We start from the raw sequence: 21,846 nt of genomic DNA, 5'->3' as shown, positions 1-21,846 counted from the left end.
ATTCATGTTTCATACAACTACATCTGATTGATGGAACCTAAGTTACATTTGAAAACCTAGCTGTAAGAGGATCTAGGAAATGTAATTTGTGGCTGCCAGACTCTACAATACTAGAATGAGGTTGGAATGGATGATGAGTGAGGCAATCTGCTGTATCAACCACAGTTCTTATGTTTCTAAGTACGTATTTTATTTGGGGTCAATGAGAGCTCTTTACTTCCTATACTGCAGATGGTGTATTAGTTATTTACTGCTGCAATAATGCCAGGTAACAAACCCAGATATCTTAGTGGCTTGTAGCAAAAGACATCTGTGTTCTTACTCTCAGGTCTGCAGGTCAGCTGGGTGGCTCTGACTCAGGCTGCAGTTGGGCTCTATCTAGTCTGTCCCACATGTCTTCACTGTGAGGCCTAGGCTGAAGGCGGAATAGCACAGAGAGTGTGCTTTTCTCATGACAGATCCCAAGAGTGCAAAAGAAAAAGCTACACTTCATGAAAAACATGAGAAGCTCCCTATTATAAAAGCAGCAAAATATCTTGCAGATTCATTCCTGAATGCTAGAGAAGTAAAACAGTGCCCCCCACCCAATATAGAAGAGGGGAACTAGCAAACACAAATTGTCTTCACAATCAGACCAACCCTTTGAGACTAGAATGTAGCAAACTAAAATGAGATGTAGACTGAGTCACAGCCTTTGAATCTTGTGAGAAAAGAAGCTAGGAGAGGATCAGGAGCATGTTCTTTGAATAATTTCATGCTTCTTGCATCATCCTTGTTTATTTCCCTCTTGTCCTCTCCATTTATTCATATAATAAACAAGTATTAACCATCTAGTATGTACCAGATGGTGGGCTGAATGCCTAGGAGTCAACAATAAGAAAGACAGTGAAATGCCTTTGCAAACATTATAAAAGTGAAAGAGATCTGATCTGGCCCACCCGAACTCTTGCCTTTAGCTTTCAAGCTGCCTTAATCATTCCTGGGCTTAGGCTGAGCTAACTTAGTTTATAGTTTAAATGATATTGGGCCTTCCCCAATACTCAATTGTCTTTGTAAAGCTAATGAAAGGCCATTAGCCTGGGGAAAGAGAGGGATCTGAGTTCTGCTAAGATGTAGACATAAATTGCCAGACATTCCTGCAGATAATACCAGTATTGTAGGTTGGCCTTTGAAATATCTTTTCAGGATTTTTACATGTCTGACACTACCTGGACCTGCCAATCCTGCTCTTGTGACCTCACCCAGAAGTGACTCAGCACAAGAGGACATCTTTGACCCCCTATGAGTTCATCTCCTTCCCAAGAAATCAGCAGCAAGCCTACCCACCCCCACCTTTTCCCGCAAACGGACTTTCAAAAACCTCTAACCTACAAGCTTTGGAGGAGATGATTTGAGTACTAACTCCATCTCCCACATGGAATGGTTAGCTTCGTGTCTATTAACTCTTTCTTTACTGCAATGCTGTGGTCTTTATTTGTGCAGCAGGCAGGAAGAACCCCTTGGGTGGTTACAATAGACATAGATCCCTGGAGTATAGAAGCCAATATAGATAAGTAACTAGGTATTAATAATTAAAATAGTGTGGTGTAAGCCAAAAATAAAATTATAGGCCCCCCAAACAACTGGATGGACCCCTCATCTTGGCCAAGGGGATCCCAAAGAAACCTGAAAAACTAGTTCAACCTGAAAAACTAGTTCAAGCCACGATGGGAAAGGAGGTATTGGACATGCCTCATTATAGCTTTTACCTTTGGGGTTGAGGCAAAACTGATCAGCATTAACACCAAACTAAAAATCATAAGAACGACAAAACAGACTCTTTGTGGCAATAAGATACCCAGCTCCAACCTGACTTTGGAATGGCATTGCATGACAGATAACAGGCCCTCAAGGAAATCAGAGTATGTTACCCCCAAATATATTTGTTTGACATACTTTGAAATGCCCTGCAAAACTGTCTCTTGTAGGGGAATTTGCATTCTGTAGACTCTTCTTCCCCTTCTATGTATTTTCCGCATCCAGTAGATATTTAACTAAGAGTCTGACCCCTTTTAAGGTATGAAAAGAGACATTTACTTACCATCTGTTCTCTCTGAAGCCTGCTACTTAGAGGCTTCATCTACATAACAAGAGCCTTGGCTTCTGCAGCTCCCCTTAACTCAAGCATTTCTTTCTGCTGATGTCAACTCTTCAGGCAAAACTTAACTCTTTCAACCAACTGCTCATCAGAAAATCTTTAAATCACCTATGACCCGGAAGCTACCACACCCATCCTGCGAGATGTCATGCCCTCCGTGCCAAACCAATGTATACCTTACATGTACTGATTTATGTCTTTGCCTGTAACTTCTGTCTCCCTGAAATGTAGAAAACTAAGCTGTAACCCAACCACCTCAGGCACATGTTCTCAAGACCTCTTGGGACTGTGCCCTGGGCCATGGTCACTCATATTTGGCTCAGAATAAACCTCTTTAAATATTTTACAAAGTTTGGCTTTTTGATCAGCAGTGGTAAGTGCCATGGAATGGAAAGGAACAAGTTTATGAAAGAAGCACCCCATCCAGACTGAAAAGATGAGTGATAACTAACCAGAAAAAGAAAGAATACTTCAGGTAGCAGGAAAGCTGTGTGTGAAACCCAGGGGCATGGAAAGAGAAGAAAGCCTGGTGTTTGAGACACTCTCTGAGCCCCCCATAGATGGAGTGGAGAATGTGAGTGTGAAGACTGACATGCAAGCCAGGGCCAGCTCACAAAAGGCCTAGTAAGGGTTTAAGAGCAAAGAGCTAGAAAGTTTTCACTTTGCTCCTTAATATTTAGGCAGATATTTTTGAAAGAGAAGATTTCATAGGGCATGATTAGGAGCTTTGAGTGGGAACAGTAGTGGTGGCAGTGTCAGTCAGAGAGGCCCAGAAGGAGGGAGTGAAGCTGATGAGGTGAGCCAAGTTGGGGGTGTCTGTCCTTCTGGTGCCTTCAAGCAGATGTCCTCAAAGGAATCAAAGTGAGGCGTGCCCTCTCCTCCCCTCAATTGGGAGGTATATCAAAATCACCCTGTGGATTTTGAAACCACCTTTGCAAAAGTTATAACTGAGGAAATTATGACAGTGAAAGAGATCAGACCTAACCAACTCTATCTTGCTTCTAACCTTTAAGCTGTCCTTATTCATTCCTGGGCATAGGCCAAACTAACTTTGGGAAGAAATTCAGTTCATGGTTTGACTCTGAAACAAAATTGATAATAGCCCTTTCCCAAAAAGATACCTGACTTGCCTGGGACCAGTCTGTCTTTGCAGGACTAACAAGTTAGCTACAAAGATTAGAAATTATGGTTTAGAGGTCACGCAGCCACTGGCTCCAAGAGTCTGAACCTCTCCAAATTGCTCCTGGGGATAACATCACTATTGTAAAATCTAAGATCAGTGCTTGAGATATTTTGCAGACCCTGCACTGGATGGACCAGCTGACACCACCCAGACTGGTAATCTGGCTCAACAAGTTCTGCCATCCCACTTAGGAACAGAAGACAGCAAGAAAAACTCACTTCGACCCCCTGTGATTCCATCTCCAACCTGACCAATCAGCACTCCCCACTTCCCAAGCCCCTACCTGCCAAATTATCCTTAAAAACGCCAACCCCAAATGCTCAGAGAGACTGATTTTGAGTAATAATAAAACTCCCATCTCCCACACAGCCAGCTCTGCATGAGTTACTCTTTTTCCACTGCAATTCCCCTGTCTTGGTAAATCAGCTCTGTCTAGGCAGCAGGCAAAGTGAACCCATGGGGCAGTTACAAATTTTACAAACACATCACAGTAGTTTTACCACCCCTTCCTGTCTCCCTTTTCCCCCAGCCATCCATACCTATGAACAAGCCACTTTCTCAGGTGTATCAAGGTAGAACAGGTAAAGAAATATTGCCTTAGAGGTTAAGAAGCCGCCGAAAAATTCTAAGATACTTGCAAGCATGAGTGTGTCTTCAAGTAGGGTTGGATACATGGCCAGATTTGTATTTTAGAAAACATCTCTGCTCGTTAGGGAGGGAGAAAGTAGATTGGTGCTCTTGACTAAATGTTTGTGTCTTAAAACTAATATGTTGATATCCTAACCTCCGAAGTCATGGTATTGAGAGGTACAGCTTTTGAGAGGTGATTAAGTCATGAGGGTGAAGCCCTCATTAATGGGATTAGTGCTCTTACAAAAAATAATAATAAACCACAAAGAACTCCTTTGTCCCTTCTGTCACATGAGGACATAGCAAAAAGATGAAAAGACAGCCATCTATGAACCAAGAAGTAAGCCCTCACCAGATAACAAATCTGCTGGCATCTGTATCACAGATTTGCAGCCTCTAGAACTGTGAAAAAATTAATTTCTGTTGTTTATAAGCTACCGAGTATATGGCACTTTGTTACAGCAGCCCCAAAGGACTACAACATTCCGTGCGTTAAGACGCTAGTGCAATAATTACCCCAAATGAGAGATGATGAGGCCTGTATTAAGGTGGTGGCTGTAGGGATGAAAAAGAGGGCCAAATTGCCCAGACATTTCCAAGGTGATATTAAATCTAAGAGTAAGAAAAAGGAGATAAGGAAGATCCTGAGGCTCTAGCTTGGGCAGGAGGAACTCTGTTCTGGGTTCTCCTTGGGGTCCTCTCAGTCAGTGCTGCTGCCCCACCTCCTGAACCCAAGAATCCCCGACTCCTCCTGTAACACTCCGGCCAAAAGAGATAGCCAGCTTCTGAATTTCCCCTGCATACCAATACTTAAAAGTTTTGAAATTCTTTCTAAAATGACTTTTGCCAGACAGTTTGCAGCTCATCCACAAAAATCTATATCGGCAATATTCACTTGGATGCCCCTGGCTAAATCACCTTACCAGTGACTTTGAGACACTGTAGATCTCTTAAACCACATATGTAGAGATTTAAATAACCATCTTACAACATGAAAGAGAGATCTGATGTACAATTTTGTGCCTAGTAAGTCAGTCAAATTATTACTGGCTCTAATTATCACCCCCATAGCTGCTAAATTCTTTACCTGCAGCAGAGTAGAACTCCAGAGGTGAGAAATTCTTTCCTCCCTTTGAAAATGCCAAGGAAAAAACCCAAAGGAGTGACTTCCAATACGAACCTTAGAAATCAAATCAAACCTACACTGTACACAAAGACAGGACAGGCAGAGGGAAAAGCACAGCAAACGTGGAAAATAACTTGGAAAAGATTAATCTTTTAACTCTGTGAATGCTTTAATAGGAACTAAAGCTTTACCTACATGGGACAAATGACCCTAATTCTCCCTCCTAGTGTGTTTGTATTTCTATAAGAAGTTCAATTTTTTTTCTATTTTGTGAGAATTTACAGCATCTGTCTAGAATCCAGGCAGAGAATAATATAATAGATGATCAAAGTGTGAAAACTGACACCCTGGAGAATTCTCTGTGGGGGAAAGTGATGATGTCGTAGGTTGTGTGGGAACAAATTTCCCTTGGCTGCTGTGCCTACCATCACGACAGACATAAAGCAGAATCCCCACGTGGACTACCAAAGCCATCTGAGCCACATGAGATGCAGGTCAGCATGTGTCAACTTCATAACTGGGTTTAAAATTAGGTTTACAGTTAGGTAATTTCTTCTTCTAACTTTTGCAGTAGGAGAATAAGCCCTTAAATCCACTGATATGCCATGTAACTAAATTTATCCTAATGATCCAGGGTTTCTTTTATACTTATGTTCCAGGGATTCAAATCCAGAACTGTAATAATTAACCAAAGTAATTGTATATTCTTACTTCCATATCTCAAGACTGAATAGAAATAGAACTGAGTTCATGATGTTGAGATATAGATGTAACAAAGCATGATGGACATTCTGTCCTGGCTGCATGTTAATGACAGCGATGGAGAACTGCAACCCACTTAAAGAGACACAAAAGAGAGCTGGGACATGGGTTAAGAAGTCATAGAACCTGATTCCACCTTTTACTCCCTACATGGCCTTGGGGAAGTTACCAAAGCCTTCAAAAGTTCACTTTCTTCATTTGTCACAGTTAAGGTACCAGAATTTACTTTATGTGGGTTTGAGAGAGAATAAAATCCAATAATCCATGTGAAAGCCGTAGTTTCTGGGCTGTGGTCTGTGCCCAGGATTACTTACCATGACTGTATCGGTCAGGGTGCTGGCAGGAAACAGAAGGTCAATTTGAGGAAGTTCTAATCAAGGGACTTTTTACCAAGGCAATAGAGCAGGGTGTAGGGAACGCTTGGTGGATAGTGCAGAACCCTGGGGCTCGTAATGACCACCCTGTTATAACCCCTCAGCCTGGAGGAAGCTAAAGAGGGAAGACTGGGCGGAAAAGGCTGTTTAACAGGACCTACAATTCCTCCCAAGAAAGATACCTGACAACAAACACCCCAACCTCACTCTCCCCTTTCCTTCCAGTCTCCTCCGGGTGCATTTTATTAGCCAACACAGTTGAAGACCAGAGAATACAAAAGCTCTTCCTCATAGTCTATGTAGTTCAGCCTCTTGGGCTTCAGACCAGTGTGAAGAAGGGTGGAAGAGCATATAGAAGATATTAGCACGATACAGATTTTTGAGGCTATAATGTTAAATAACCAAGCTCAGTCATTTACTGAGTGCCTAAGATAGTGTCCAGCACAGGATGTGTACTCAAGGAATGTATTTTTATTTTTAGCTATTTTTTATTTTGTTATTTTATTTTAGATTCAGGGGCTACAAGGTGCTGGTTTGTTACATGGAGATATTGTCTTATGGTGACGTTTGGGCTTCTGGTGAACCCATCACCCAAATAGTGAATATTGTACCCAACAGGTAATTTTCTAACCCTCACCTCCCTCCCATCTTTCCCTTTTTGGGGGGCCCCAGTATCTATTTTTTCCATCTTTATGACCATTTGTACCATTGTTTAGCTCCCACCTACAGGTGAGAATATGTAATATTTGATTTTCTGTTTCTCAGTTAGTTCACTTAGGTTCAATGGCCTCAGCTCCATCCATGTTGCTGCAAAGGATGTGATTTCACTCTTTTTTTATGGCTGATAGTATTGCATGGTGTATACATACCACATTTTCTTTATCCAGTCCACCACTGATGAACACTTAGGTTGATTCTTTGACTTTGCTATGGTGAATAGTGCTGCAATAAACATACGAATGCAGGTGTCTTTTTTTCTCTGAGAAATATGGGATTATGGGCCCGGCACGGTGGCTCATGCCTGTAATCCCAGCACTTTGGGAGGCCGAGGCAGGCGGATCACAAAGTCAGGAGATCAAGACCATCCTGGCTAACACGGTAAAACCCCTTCTCTACTAAAAAAAAAAATACAAAAAATTAGCCAGGCGCGGTGGTGGGCGCCTGTAGTCCCAGCTACTCGGGAGGCTGAGGCAGGAGAATGGTGCGAACCCGGGAGGCGGAACTTGCAGTGAGCCGACATCGCGCCACTGCACTCTAGCCTGGGTGACAGAGCGAGACTCTGTCTCAAAAAAAAAAAAAAAAAAAAAAAAATATATATATATATATATGGGATTATGTAAATGCAGGTATCTTTTGGTAAAACAATTTCTTTTCCTTTGGGCAGATACCTAGTAGTGGGATTGCTGGGCGAATGGCAGTTCTATTTTTAATTCTTTGGGTAATCTCCTTAGTGTTTTTCTCAGGGGTTGAACTACTTCACATTCCCACCAACAGTATATAAACGTTCCCTTTTCTCTGAATCTTCACCAACATCAGTTATTTTTTGACTTTTTAATAATAGCCATTCTGACTGGTGTGAGATGGTATCTCACTGTAGTTTTAATTTGCAAAAAAAATATTTTTAATGGATATATAAATTACCTTATTAGTCAGATTCCAGTTCCTTTATGGATATTCTGCCTTTTCCAGAATACGTATGACAAGTAAATCATTCATGGGGTCAAGCCATCGTAGGGTATGTAGAATCAGGAAGCAAAGTATTTTCAGACGGGGCTGTACAGAGAGGCAGAGGATGAATTCCTCCCCTGCCCCAACACACACACACACACACACACACACACAGCTGACAGTGTTGACAAAGCCTGGGTTATGTTTTCAGGCTCTCGAGCCATAACATGCATAGATGAAGAGTCATCATGGTTACAACATCTGAGCAAGCGACTGAAAATCCAAGCCTACGCACTCAGCTCACATTTTCCTTTGTGAGAACATGAAGGGAGAAGTTGCTGCTGACTTCAGAGTCAATGCTGACAGACGATTTCACATGAAAAAACAACACCCATGTAATACTATAGCTCAGTTTGGGGGCTGCTGGAGTTGACACATCATTCAAGGGATAAACAAGTCTGCTAGCTGTCATACCATTTGGCACAGCGAGGGACTTGAGCCAGTTAAAAACAAAGCCCTGCACAAAGAGGCCTAGGCTTACTTGGAGATTTATTTGAATTCTACATGTACATTAGTCCATGATTTAAATCGTTTTGTAAAGTTGTGTCATAGAATGCAACTTTGGGAACAGGGAGAGGATGGAGATGAATATGAAGCATGCTACAAATGATTTTACAAATAGACCATCCTGGTAATGTGTAGCACAAACCGCTGGAATTCAGGGGTGGGGAATTGTCCCTGTCACTTTAACCAACTGCTCATATCACCAAAGCTATCCAAAAATCTGCATGGGAAGAACTCTTGCTAAATTTTAGGAGGAGAAAAATTGAAATGGAAAAGAAAACTTTAGATGTTATCATCTATGAATCATGCACCATAATCAATCAATATAATCTCTGCAAGCAAATGGCTACTAAGGAAGGAATCATATTTTCGAATGTCCTCAACCTCTATGCTTTAATGATAACCAAAAAATTTTCAACATTGTGCTATTTAACAGCATAACGACTATTGGATTTGGATTGTTAAGGCTCTCTTGTTCTAATATTTTTTAATCTATCGCCTGGATCTCTTGTGACTGCATACTCTTTGAAAGGAGGAGGAGGAAAACAAATACTTTCAATATTTGCCTTCATAGTCTCCCTTTACTGGTCACCTTCACATTCATCTAAAGTACTTCCTCAGAAAACTCCTAAAAGAAAAATAACAATTTCCCACTAATATTACAAAAAAAAGATACTTTTTGTAAGTAAATTTTCAATTTTAGAAGAGTTTTAGGTTTACAGAAAAGCTGCTCAGAGAGTACAGTGGGTTCCCTTCTACCCTGGAGCCAGTTTCCTTGTGTTAAGCTCATATGGGTGACACATTTACAACTGATGAACCAATGTTGATGCATTATTATTAACTGAAATCCAAACTTTATTTGGATTTCAAGACTTACTCTATTAAAAGAACTTTGCCCACTGGAAACAGAGCACTGTAACTCTGGGGAGGTGGGGGAATAAATATTTACCTTAACGGGTATGGATTTTGACCTCAACTGCTCATTTTATCTGACCATAGCATTTTTCTACCAATTCAAAACATCACAGGGACAGTAGACCAAAGGACAGAGCACCAGTCTGGAGAAACGTGTTCATGGAGAAGTATGTCTCAGCCTTAATCCTGTTCTGCCTTAGAAAAACGACTCAACTTTTCTTTGATCCTAAGTTCTATTTCCTACAAAATAAAGAAATCAAATTATTAATAGGTGATTTCTGAAACTCTTTACAGCTTGAAATTCTATGATTCTAGAATATCTGAAAACATCTTAATGTTTATGTGGCAAAGGTTTAAATATAAGGTTAGAAGATTGTAATTCTGGCTTTTTTTTTTTTTTTTTTTGAGTCTCACTCTGTCACCAGGCTGGAGTGCAGTGGTGCAACCTCGACTCACTTCAATCTCTGCCTCCCAGGTTCAAGCGATTCTTCTGCCTCAGCCTCCCCAGGTAGCTGGGATAACAGGCACGCACCACCACACCTGGCTAATTATTTTGTATTTTAATAAAGACAAGGTTTCACCATGTTGGCCAGGATGGTCTCGATCACCTGACGGCTTGCTCCGCCCGCCTCGGCCTCCCAAAGAGCTGGGATTACAGCCGGGGGGGTTCTCAATATTCAAATTTGCCTAGAGGAAGTTAATAATACAAAAATGTCTGTTAAGAAGTATCACGTACACAAATGTTTTCACTTAAAGAATGTGGGCCAGGTGCGGTGGTTCACACCTGTAACCTAGCACTTCGGGAGGCTGAGGCGGGTGGATCACTTGAGGTCAGGAGTTCGAGACCAGCCTGGGCAACATGGTGAAACCCTGTCTCTACTAAAATACAAAACTTAGCTGGGCGTGGTGGTGCACGCCTGTAGTCCCAGCTACTCAGGAGGCTGAGGCACGAGAATTACTTGAACCCGGGAGGCAGAGGCTACTGTCAGCTGAGATAGCGCCACTGCACTCCAGCCTGGGCGACAGAGTGAGACCTTGTCTCAAAAAAAAACAGAATATGGCTAAAATTTACAAAATTTACAATATAAGTAATAGCACAGGGATAGTCATTCAATATTGACTTTAACATTGTCCCATTCTCTTATAGTCTTCTAAAGACTTCTTATGCCATTTCATTTCTTCTCATAAGTAACCCAGAATAAAATCTAATGTTGATATTTTGTATCCTTTTCTTTAAAGAAGAAAAATAGACTACAAATTCTAGTAAACAAGTTAGTGTAGATTATTCAGCATTGATAAAAATGTGCTAAAGCATCACATCAGAATTTTACCTACAATATAAAAGTCAAGTTTTTATGCCTGACTATAGACAAAGTACCAACATCTTATTGACTCAAGAGTGAAGAACTTTTATAAAGGTAAGGCATATTCAGCATGTACAAAATGTCTTAACACCCAGCAGATGACATCATTACAAAACTAGGAAACTTGAAGGCAAAACAGAAGAAACAACATTTTCACTAACTTAAAGAAAATGTTATATTCAGTTTTCATAAAAAATTTAATGAGCATGTTTATGAAAGTAGAGGTCATACAGGAAGAACATGATGTCGCTGTCCAAAAAAAAGGAGCTTGTGACAGTTGAAAGGGAAAATCCCCAGCTCTTTCAAGGCCTCTTCTATGTTCTTAAGGGGAATTATGCATCTGAATTTTTTTTTTTTTGAGAGTCTTGCTTTGTCGCCCAGGTTGGAGTGCAATGACACAATCTTGGTTCACTGTAGCCTCTGCCTCCCAGGTTCCAGCGATTCTCCTGCCTCAGTCTACTGGGTAGCTAGGATTATAGGCACCCACCACCACACCCAGCTAATTTTTGTATTTTTAGTAGAGACAGGGTGTCACCACATTGACCAGGCTGGTCTCAAACTCCTGACCTCAGGTGATCCGCCCGCCTCGGCCTCCCAAAGTGTTGGGATTACAGGTGTGAGCCACCTCGCCTGGCCGCATTTGAAAATTTTTAAGTGGTATTCACTGGCTGTGGAAATGAAAACATTTTTTCTTTGAGTGAACCCTTTGACGGCATCTCTTTCCTCAAAAAAATTTTAAATATTTGTGTGTGTGTGTGTGTGCCAAAATATGCATAAAATATAGTATTCACATGATGTATATATGTGTGTAATATATTATATTACACAATATATTATATATTCACACATAAGATGTACATTTGTATATATACACACATAAAGATGTAACTTTTTCTCATGAACAAACTCAAATATATTCCTAACTCCACAGCACAGCCATATCAGGATGTACTGCTTAATTTCACCCTGCCCTTGCAAGCAAATCCAGTAAACAATACACAGAGAACATTTTTTAAAAGCCCAGTAATAACCATAATGTATAGTCTTATTTGTTCTATTTATTTTTCAAAATGTTTTCCAGTTTGATAGCCTTACCATCTGGGAGGACCACTGAATGAAAACAGAAAAATTTGTATATTTTGGAAACAGATCTAGGTTCTATTATTTACTAGCTGTATGACATTGGATATGGAATTTTACCTAAAACATGAGGAATAAATCCCTTACAGGGTTGCTGAAAAAGCTAAATATGATCACGTCAAATGCCTGAGTGTCGAGTGCAAGAATGGAGCTCTATGTTTTCATTACTTTTTCCCACTTTTGGTATTCGTCATTTAATTAGTGATGCAAACACTACCGGAAATTGGCTGAATATCTCACGGTATTCTTACTTATCCCTCTTCACTACTATTTATCTTTGTGTTAGTCTACAAATCCTCCACAGAAAACAGAGAAAAAACGAAGAATTCACAACTATATCTCAATATAGCACCAAGACTTACTTTTAAAGAAGTTCCTCTTCTAGAGACAAGGCATAAGTTTTAAACAAATACTAAATGTTATTTTATTTTGTTATAATCATTGATTAGTATTTATCTTATGTAAGAAAAGCTGCAATAAGCAATTGCAATATAACAAGTTGTATGTTGAATTAAATATGTTTAGGTAGCAAAGTCACAACTTTGAAACACAACACCTGAGGTCCAGAGATTTTAAAAATAAATTCAAGAAAAATAAGAATTTAACTTATAAATGATTTTTCATAATAAGGGTCAATGAAATAGCATGAAAAGTTGGTATCCACAGACATTCCAAAGTTTTTTATTTTATGAAATTTCTCCAAATAAACTTTTAAATAAAGTAACAAAAAAACTGATCAGAAGAACTTTTTTATTTTAAGCAGTTAGTTTCAAAATGGCCAAAAGAAAAAGAGACAAAATAAACTAAGCGATAAATAAGAAAAACTTTTTAAAAATGTCTTATTGTTATTGACAGCTTCAATAACATACTGGATCTGACCTTGAAGATAGGTCTTTTGAAATTACCCAATCAGTGGGGAAAAAAGCATAAGAATGAAAAAGAATGAAGACAGCCTATAGGAATTTTGGGACACCATTAAGTGAACAAACATTTGCATTATGAGACATCTAGAAGATACAAAAATAGGGACAGAAAGCTTGTTTAATAAAATGATTGCTGAAAACTTCCCAACTCTCAGAAGACGTATGGACATCCAGACACATGAAGCTCAAAGATCCCCAAATAGGTTCAGCCCAAAGACATCCCCACTGAGGCACATTATAATTAAACTGTCAAAAGTCAAAAACAGAGAATTTTAAAAGCAGCAAAAGAAAAGTACCAAGTGGCATACAAAAGAATGACCATAGATCATCAGCAGACATGTCAGCAGAAACCCTGCAGGCCAGAAAAGAATGGGATGACATGTTGAAAGTGCGTAAGCAAAACTGCCTGCAAAAATGCTATACCCAACAAAGCTGTTCTTCGGAGATGAAGGAGAAATAGTCTTTCCCAAACAAGCAAAAGTGGAAGAAAGTCATCACCACTAGACCTGCCCTACAAGAGATGCTCAAGGAAGTTTTTCAGGTAGAAATGAAAAGACAGTAATTACCAACATGAAAATACATGAAAGTATAAAATTCACTGGTAAAGGTAAATATAAGTAAACTCAGAATATCCCTATACTGTTATGGTGCTCTGTAAATCATGTATCTATCTAGTACAAAGATTAAAATCAAAACAGTCAAAAAATAAAATAGCTACAATAAATTGTTAAGAAATCCATAATATAAAAAATGTAAATTGTGACATCAAAATACAATTTGTGGAGAAAGAGCGTAAGTGTTTTGAGTTTTTGTGTGTGACTAAAGTTAAGTTGGTATCAGTATAAAATGGCCCGTTATAACTATAACATGTTTTATGTAAGCCTCATGAAAACCACAAAGCGCAAAAAGATAGCAAATACACAAATGATAAAAAGAAATGAATCAAAACAAGCCATTAAAGAAAATCACCAACTCACAAAGATAAACAAGAGAGGAAGAAAGAAACAAAGGTTTCTTTCTTCTGGTTTCTGGTTATTTTGGTTATTTCTGGTTATTTTCTGGTTTCTGGTTTCTTCAAAGGTTTCTTGTTATTTCTAAAATAACCAGAAAGCAGGCAGGGCATGGTGGCTCACATCTGTAATCCCAGCACTTTGGAGGACCAAGGCAGGTGGAACATGAGGTCAAGAGATCGAAACCATCTTGGCTAACATGGTGAAGCCCCGTCTCTACTAAAAATACAAAAAATTAGCCAGGCGTGGTGGCACGTGCCTGTAGTCTCAGCTACCCAGAGGCTGAGACAGGAGAATTGCTTGAACCTGGGAGGCGGAGGTTGCAGTGAGCCAAGATCATGCCACTGCACTCCAGCCTGGGCAACAGAGCGAGACTCCATCTCAAAATAAATAAATAAATAAATATAATAACCAGAAAACAATTAACAAAATGATAGTAGTAAGTCCTTACCCATCAACAATTACTTTGAAAGTAAATTAATTAAATTCTCCAATAAAAAACATAAAGTGGATAAATAAATTTAAAAAACAAGATCCAACTATATCCTGCCTATAAGAGACATAGGTACACCAAAAGTAAAGGGATGGAAGGAGCTATTCCACTCAAGTGGTAACCAAAACAGAGCAGGGGTAGCTATAACTATATCAGATAGAGAGTCAAAAATTGTCACAAGAGACAGAAAATGTCATTACTTAATAATAAAGGGTATAATTCATCAAGAAGACATAACTATTGTGAATATATATGCACCCAATATCAGAATACCTAACTATATAAAGCAAATAATAATGGACCACTAGTAACCAGAACTACTATGAAGGGAGAAATAGATTGCATTACAATAATAGCAGGGGACTTCACCACACCACTTTCAACAATGGACAGATCAACTAGACAGAAAATTAATGAGAAAATGCTGAAATTGAACTGCACATTAGATAACATGGACCTAACAGATATACACAGAACTTTCCATCCGATAGCAGCAGAATACATACTCTTTTCTAGTACACAGGGAACATTTTCCAGGATAGCCCATATGGTAAGCCACAAAACAAATCTTAACAAATTTAGAAAAATCAAAATAGTATCAAATACTGTTTCTGACCACAATGGTATGAAACTGGAAATCAATAAGAGAGGGAACTTTAGAAACTATAAAAATACATGGAAATTTAAACAACATGCTCTTGAACAACCATGGGTTAACTAAAGGAGAGAAATTAAAAGAGAAATTTAAAAATTTCTAGAGACAACTGAAAATGGATATATAACATACCAAAACCTGTGGAATATGACAAAGGCAGTACTCAGAAGAAAGTTAATAGCAATAAAGACCTATATCAATATAGAAGAAAGAGCACAAATACCCTAATGTTGCACCTCAAGGAAGTAAAAAAACAAAAACTAACTAAACTCAAAATTAGAAGAAATGAAATAGTAAAGATCATAGCATAAATAAACAAAAATAGACAAAAAATACAAAAATCAACCAAATGAAGGATTGGGTTTTTGAAAATATAAACAAAATCAACACTCTTTAGCCAGAAAGAAAGAAAACTCAGATAAAATCAGAGATGAACAAGGAGATATTACAACTGATGCCACAGAAATACAAAGAATTATAAGAGAATATTATGGACAACTACACACCAGGGAGTCCTAGCTGTATAACAGCTCACTCTCACAAGAACTAATCCAGGGTGTCCAATCTTTTGGCTTTCCTGGGCCACATTGGAATAAGAAGAATTGTCTTGGGCCACACATAAAATACCCCAACACCAACAATAGCTAATGCACTACACCAACAACAATAGCTGATGAGCAAAAAAAAAAAAAAAAAAAAACTCATAATATTTTAAGAAAGTTTACAAATTTGTGTCAGCCCGCATTCCAAGCCATCTGGGCCACATGTGGCCTGTGGGCTGTGTGTTGGACAAGCTTGAACTAATTTATTCCTTGACAAACCAATCCAGTCTCCTGAAAGTGAGAATTCGGTACTATAAGAATGGCACCAAGGCTTCATGAGGAATCCACCCCCATGATTCAAACACCTCCCACTGGGCTCCACCACCTCCCAACATCACTACACTGGGGATCAAATTTCAATACGAGATTTGATGGAGACAAATCATATCCAAACCACAGCAATCAGTAATCATCAGGGAAATGCAAATTCAAATCACAATGAAATATCACCTCACTCCAGTTAGAATGACTCTTCTCAAAAAGACAAAAGATACCAAGTGTTGCTGAGGATGTGGAGAAAGGAACCCTTACACACACTTTGTGGGAATGTAAATTAGTATAGCCATTATGGAAAACAGTATGAAGTTTCCTCAAAAAATTAAAATAGAACTGTCATATAATCTATCAATCCCACTACTTGGTGTACATTTAAAGGAAATGAAACAACACCTCATTAAGAAATTTGTGCCCACATGTTCCTTGTAGCATTATTCACGACACCCAAGACAAGGAAGCAACATAAGTGTCCATCAAGAGAAGAATAGGTAAAGAAAATGTGGTATATAGAAACAATAGAGTATATTCAGTCATTAAAAAAAAGTGAAATCCTGTCATTTGCAACAACATCCATGAACCTGTAGGACATTATGTTAAATGAAACAAGCTAGACACAGAAAGACAAGTACTGTATGATCTCACTCATATGTGGAATCTAAAAAAGTTTATCTCACAGGAGTACAGAGTAGAATGGTAGTTACCACAGGCTGAGGAAGAAAGTAGGAGACGGGGATAGGTTGGTCAACAGATAAAAAGTTATAGTTAGATAGGAAGAATAGTTCTGGTGTTCTATTGCACGATAGGGTGACTATAGTTGAGTGACAACAGTTAACAAGAATGTATTTTGTATTTAAAAATAGCCAGAAGAGTGGATTTTCAATGTTCTCACTACAAAGAAATAATAAATGCTTGAATCAATGGATTTGCTAATTACCCTAATTTGATCATTACACAATATATACATGTATACATGTATTAAAACATCACATTATACTCTATAAATATGTACAATTACTATGTCAATGAAAATAAAACTTTTAAAAAATTCTTATTGTTAAAAAAAAGCAAGTAAAAATTAAACCATACAGGAAAACACAAAGAAATAGAAACAAATCTAAAATGTCAACACCCAGATCTAACCATTAACATTTTGCTTAAAATCTTTATAGATAAATCTCTATATATTTAGAAGATATATTTAACTTCTTATATATAAGAAGTTTTTAAAATATTCTCATCAGTGAGATCACACTATTTATATTGTCACTTGCCATTTCCACTTACCATGTTTGAGACAATTTCCAAGGTCACTAAATACAGATCTTTAACAGTAGTTTAACACCTCACAGTATTTCACTGTAGCTTATTTAATGTAATTTATATAACTAAGTCATTTTTGTTGGAAATGTTTAGCTTCCCCCATTTTTGCTATTAAAATAATACTGCAATTAACGTCTCTTTGTGGACAACTTTTGGCATGTAATTTCCTAGAAAATGGATTACTAGGCAAAATTTTATACACATGTAACACTTTGGTACATATTTCCAAAAAGACATGTTATAAAATCACATCAATTTACTCTAAGTGTTGGAGAAGAACTCACCCAACAGCCACATACAAGAGTTTTGGGGGGTTAAGTGCATTAGAGTGTTGGATTTGTAGGATGAAGGATGGAGCAATAAGGTTTCATACAGCAATACAAAAGGTTTAACTTGCGCATTTCTTTTTTTTTTTTTAATAAGATGAGCTCTTGCTATGTTGCCCGGATTGGTTGCAAACTCCTGGCCTCAAGTGATCCTCTTGCTTCGGCCTCCCAGAGTGCTGTGATTACAGGTGTGAGCCACCACACTCAGCCTCCATTTCTTGCATATTTCTAAAATACTCAGAGGTCCCAAATAGCTTTTAATTTCTTACTTTTAATAAGTTGACAATTAACTATTATGAGATATCTCATTTTAGCACTAAAAATAAAAAATAAGAGAAGATGAAAATAGAAACTTGAAAAAATACTGGATTTTGTATATCTTAAAAAAATCTATCATTATTATCCTCAGATAAAAGATTTTACATCCATGATGAAAGAACAAGATCATCTTTAAAAAAAAAAAAAAACTGAGAAGAGAAAGAAATAGAGACATCAGAGAGGAAGAGACTAGCAATAAAATAATTGCAGAAAAACTCCCAGGAGAGACGGACATCAACTTGAAGATGAAACAGATTTATCAAACGCCTGGCATAGTAGGTAAAATAATTCACACCAATGTACATCATGGTAAGATTTTAGAACACCAAGAACAAAGAGAAGTTTTTAAAATATTCTGGAGATTTTTTAAAGGAACACCTACAAAGAACCAGCAAGCAAAAAAAGCTTTGAATTTTTAATAGCAACACTGATACTATCAGACATTGGAGTAATACCTCCAAAAGTCTGAAGGAAAGTAATTTCAGCCTATAGTTCTATATGCAGCCAAACTGCCAATCAACTAGAAATGTAGAAAAAAGAATACTTTCTGATGTAATAATTCAAAAATGTTATTTTCCTTTCATTTTTTTCTCAGGATCCAATACTGGAAAGGCAAGGGGAATCTCTAGAATGGTGATCATGGTTGAAATGGATCCCAGAATGAGTGTTGTCTATCAGGGACACATTAGAGCAGGATGGAAATTTTGTGGCCATAAAGAGAGCACACCTGTGTAGCTACTGTTTCTGCCAGACCAAAAAAAAAACCCAAAAATTATGGTGACTATAGATGGAATTCAAAGATAACTACATGACTGAGACTGATTGGTAAGACAATAAAGTGTCCTTAAAAATGGTTACACAGAAACCTCCTACCTCTCTAAACTGACATCCTTGTAAATGCCTTATGATCTCCATATATCAACACACAAGAGAAGATAGATCTGTTTAAGAATTCTACTACATTTATACACATATTTATAAATGCTGAGCATATCTCTGGGTCAATATTAAAGAAGCTGTCTTTAACAATGTTTGTTTTAAGCGGAGATCTGGGTCAATAAGGCAAAGAGGTATGACAAATAATTATTTTCACTTTTTTTTTTTTTTTTTTTTGAGACAGGTTCTGGCTCTGTCACCCAGGCTAGAGTGCAGTGGTGCGATCTTGGCTCACTGCAGCCTCAACCTCCCAGGCCCAAGCAATCCTCCCACCTCAGCCTCCCAAGTAGCTGGAACTACAGGTGCATGCCACCACATCTGGCTAATTTTTGTATTTTTTGTAGAGTTGGGGTCTTGCCATGTTGCCCAGGCTGGTCTTGAACTCCTGGGCTCAAGCAATCTGCCCCGCTTGGCCTCCCATAGTGCTGGGATTACAGGCATGAGCCACCAGACCTAGCCTACTTTTCACATTTACTCTTTTATTTTCCTGAGTTTTGTACCATGAACATGTATTAACTTTTTTAAAAATGTTACAACAAAATATTTTGTGTATACTTCAAAACAAGAGGCAGAACCATGCTTACATAAGCATTTGCCATCAAGTAAAAAACAAGTTTAAAATTCCTACTTTCAAAATTATTACGTAGCATTTTTTAATATGTATTAACCAATGCATTAAAAAACAAGAAAATAATTATCATTATTTGCAGAAAAAAATGATTCTAAATTTAGAAAACCAAAAGAAACCAAAAGCTATTGGAAACCATGAGAAAATTTAGTAAGAGTAAGGTGGCTGATTATAAAATTAACATACAATAATCCATAGCTTTATTAACAAGTATATTTTATCATATCTTATTTTACAGAAGCAACTTATATATTCTCCTTTAAAAGTATTAAATAAGAATATACCTGACAAAAAGTTAATTTTTTCTACTCCCCCAATCCTCATCACAGTCTTATAACCTAGATTGTATTATAATCCCCATTTTATAGATAAAGACCTAAGTATAAATAACAAAACTATGAAAGTATTAGATAAAAACATAGCTGAATCTGTCTTGAACACTTGAGTAAAGTAAAAGCCTTTCTAAGCATGTCACAAATTTTAGAAGCCATAAGAAAGAGTGGTAAATTTTACTACCAGAAATTAAAATTTTCTGTATAAACATGCTATAAAAATATCCAAAATACAAATTATAAATCGAGAAAAGTATTTGTAACATTAATGACAAAAGAATAATGTCCTTTATATACAGAGAACACTTACAAAACAAATAAAAGGCAAATAACCCAATAGAAAAAATGAGCAAAGAAATGATCAAATCTGAAGCAGAAATAAAAGGACCAACAAAACACACATACATACACACAATGCCCAGTCAGAATCATAATTACAGGATACAAATCAAATGAATGAAATGCTATTTTTTATCCAACAGATTGGCAAAGATTAAGCATTTGATGAAAGCTAATGTTGGCAAAATTTGGAGAAACTGATATTCCCACATACTACTAGTTGAATAAAACTGATACAGCATTTTGAAGGGTGGTTTGGCAATACAAGATAAAAATTGTATATGCATCTACTCTATGACTCATTTATACTACTTCTAGGAATTTTCCCTAAGGCAGCTATCACAAAAAGGCATAAAAATATATCTGCAAGGATGTTCATAGAAAAATTGAACAAAACTCAGGCCGAGCACGGTGGCTCACGCCTGTAATCCCAGCACTTTGGGAGGCTGAGGCGGGCAGATCACGAGGTCAGGAGATCGAGACCATCCTGGCTAACAAGGTGAAACCCCGTCTCTACTAAAAATACAAAAAAAAAATTAGCCGGGCGCGGTGGTGGGCACCTGTAGTCCCAGCTACGGGGGAGGCTGAGGCCGGAAAATGGTGTGAACCCAGGAGGCGGAGCTTGCAGTGAGCCTAGACCACGACACTGCACTCCAGCCTGGGCAACAGAGCAAGACTCTGTCTCAAAAAAAAAAAAAAGAAAAGAAAAATTGAACAAAACTCAAAACAACATTAATGTTCTCAGCACTAAACTGATTAAGTATGCTATATCCATACAATGAAATATTTTGTACCCTTTAAAATTTTAAGTATATGTATATACAGAACTATGCAAAGATGTCCAAGTTATAGATTAACTGAATAAAGTAAGTCATAAAATAATACATGTATTGTCTCAAGAGAGTGAATATATATGTATGTGTATACACACACATGCATGCACACACACTTATATATGCACAAAAAAATTCTGGAAACATACACAAAAAATGTCAAGAATACTTCTAAAGGTGGAATTGGAAATCGAGAGGGTAAGGCAAGAGATTTACTATTTATTTTGTGCCCCTCTGTGCTGCTTGATTTTGCTACCTCCTATCTTTTGTGCATAAAATCTTAAATCTATGGAGAAATGAAGAAAAGAAAGAGTTTGAATGTTCTGCAGGATACAGTTTTGCAACAGAATAGCAATTTAATGTACCTTTGTACTCCAGATCATCATTATTCCCAGACATGCTTCAGCTTTCAAATAAATAATACTAGAAATCCCACCCGCAGGTAACTTGTCTAAGATTACATTTGCCACTAAACCATCCATTAAGATGCAAAAAAAATTACATGAGCTAGTTTGGGCTAATTTCAGAGAGAGGCAGATAGTAAATCATTTCTGTACTCACTGTTTTTCTGACCAATATTCAGTTTTCATTATTTAGTAGTCTGGCACTCTGGGACTTCATGAAGTACTTGTCTAAATGTAAATATATGGATACTTCTGATTTAAAAAACAACAAAAAACTTCCTGGCCTCAAGTACTCCTTACAAAGGTTGAATGTTCCCAAATATGGGCAAAAAAATACAAGTCTGTATAAAATCAAAATTCCGATTTGGAGGAGTGATGTCACTAAGATGGTGGGGTAGGAGATACCAGCCTTCATCCCTCCACAACCAACCAAATATAGATGGCTATCCACAGATCAAAATAGCCCCGAAAGGGCTCAAGGGCCCATTAAAGAACCTGCAGCAACATAGTGGAGGAAAAAAATGGAGAATATCCCTATAGAAAGGATTGCTAGTGAGACTGGTATAGCTGAGATGCCAGGAAACAGCT

At 37.8% G+C, this 21,846-nt stretch overlaps 4 annotated features.

Moving 5' to 3' along the window:
- Window positions 675-1,473: an enhancer, noted in NCBI's record as "NANOG-H3K27ac hESC enhancer chr12:28059083-28059881 (GRCh37/hg19 assembly coordinates)". NCBI's record gives its function as "activates a minimal SCP1, AML or CMV promoter by ChIP-STARR-seq in naive H9 embryonic stem cells {active_cell/tissue: H9 hESC(naive)}" and the evidence as "EXISTENCE:reporter gene assay evidence [ECO:0000049][PMID:30033119]".
- Window positions 1,474-2,271: an enhancer, noted in NCBI's record as "OCT4-NANOG-H3K27ac hESC enhancer chr12:28058285-28059082 (GRCh37/hg19 assembly coordinates)". NCBI's record gives its function as "activates a minimal SCP1, AML or CMV promoter by ChIP-STARR-seq in primed H9 embryonic stem cells {active_cell/tissue: H9 hESC(primed)}" and the evidence as "EXISTENCE:reporter gene assay evidence [ECO:0000049][PMID:30033119]".
- Window positions 6,299-6,348: an enhancer, noted in NCBI's record as "active region_6153". NCBI's record gives its function as "activates an Ori minimal core promoter by ATAC-STARR-seq in GM12878 lymphoblastoid cells {active_cell/tissue: GM12878}" and the evidence as "EXISTENCE:reporter gene assay evidence [ECO:0000049][PMID:35858748]".
- Window positions 16,461-16,661: a silencer, noted in NCBI's record as "peak1633 fragment used in MPRA reporter construct". NCBI's record gives its function as "represses an SCP1 promoter by STARR-seq MPRAs in K562 erythroleukemia cells {active_cell/tissue: K562}" and the evidence as "EXISTENCE:reporter gene assay evidence [ECO:0000049][PMID:32103011]".

The sequence above is a fragment of the Homo sapiens genome, chromosome 12, assembly GCF_000001405.40.
Source record: "Homo sapiens chromosome 12, GRCh38.p14 Primary Assembly".
NCBI lineage: Eukaryota > Metazoa > Chordata > Mammalia > Primates > Hominidae > Homo > Homo sapiens.
This window is presented reverse-complemented; position numbering and strand designations above follow the sequence as displayed.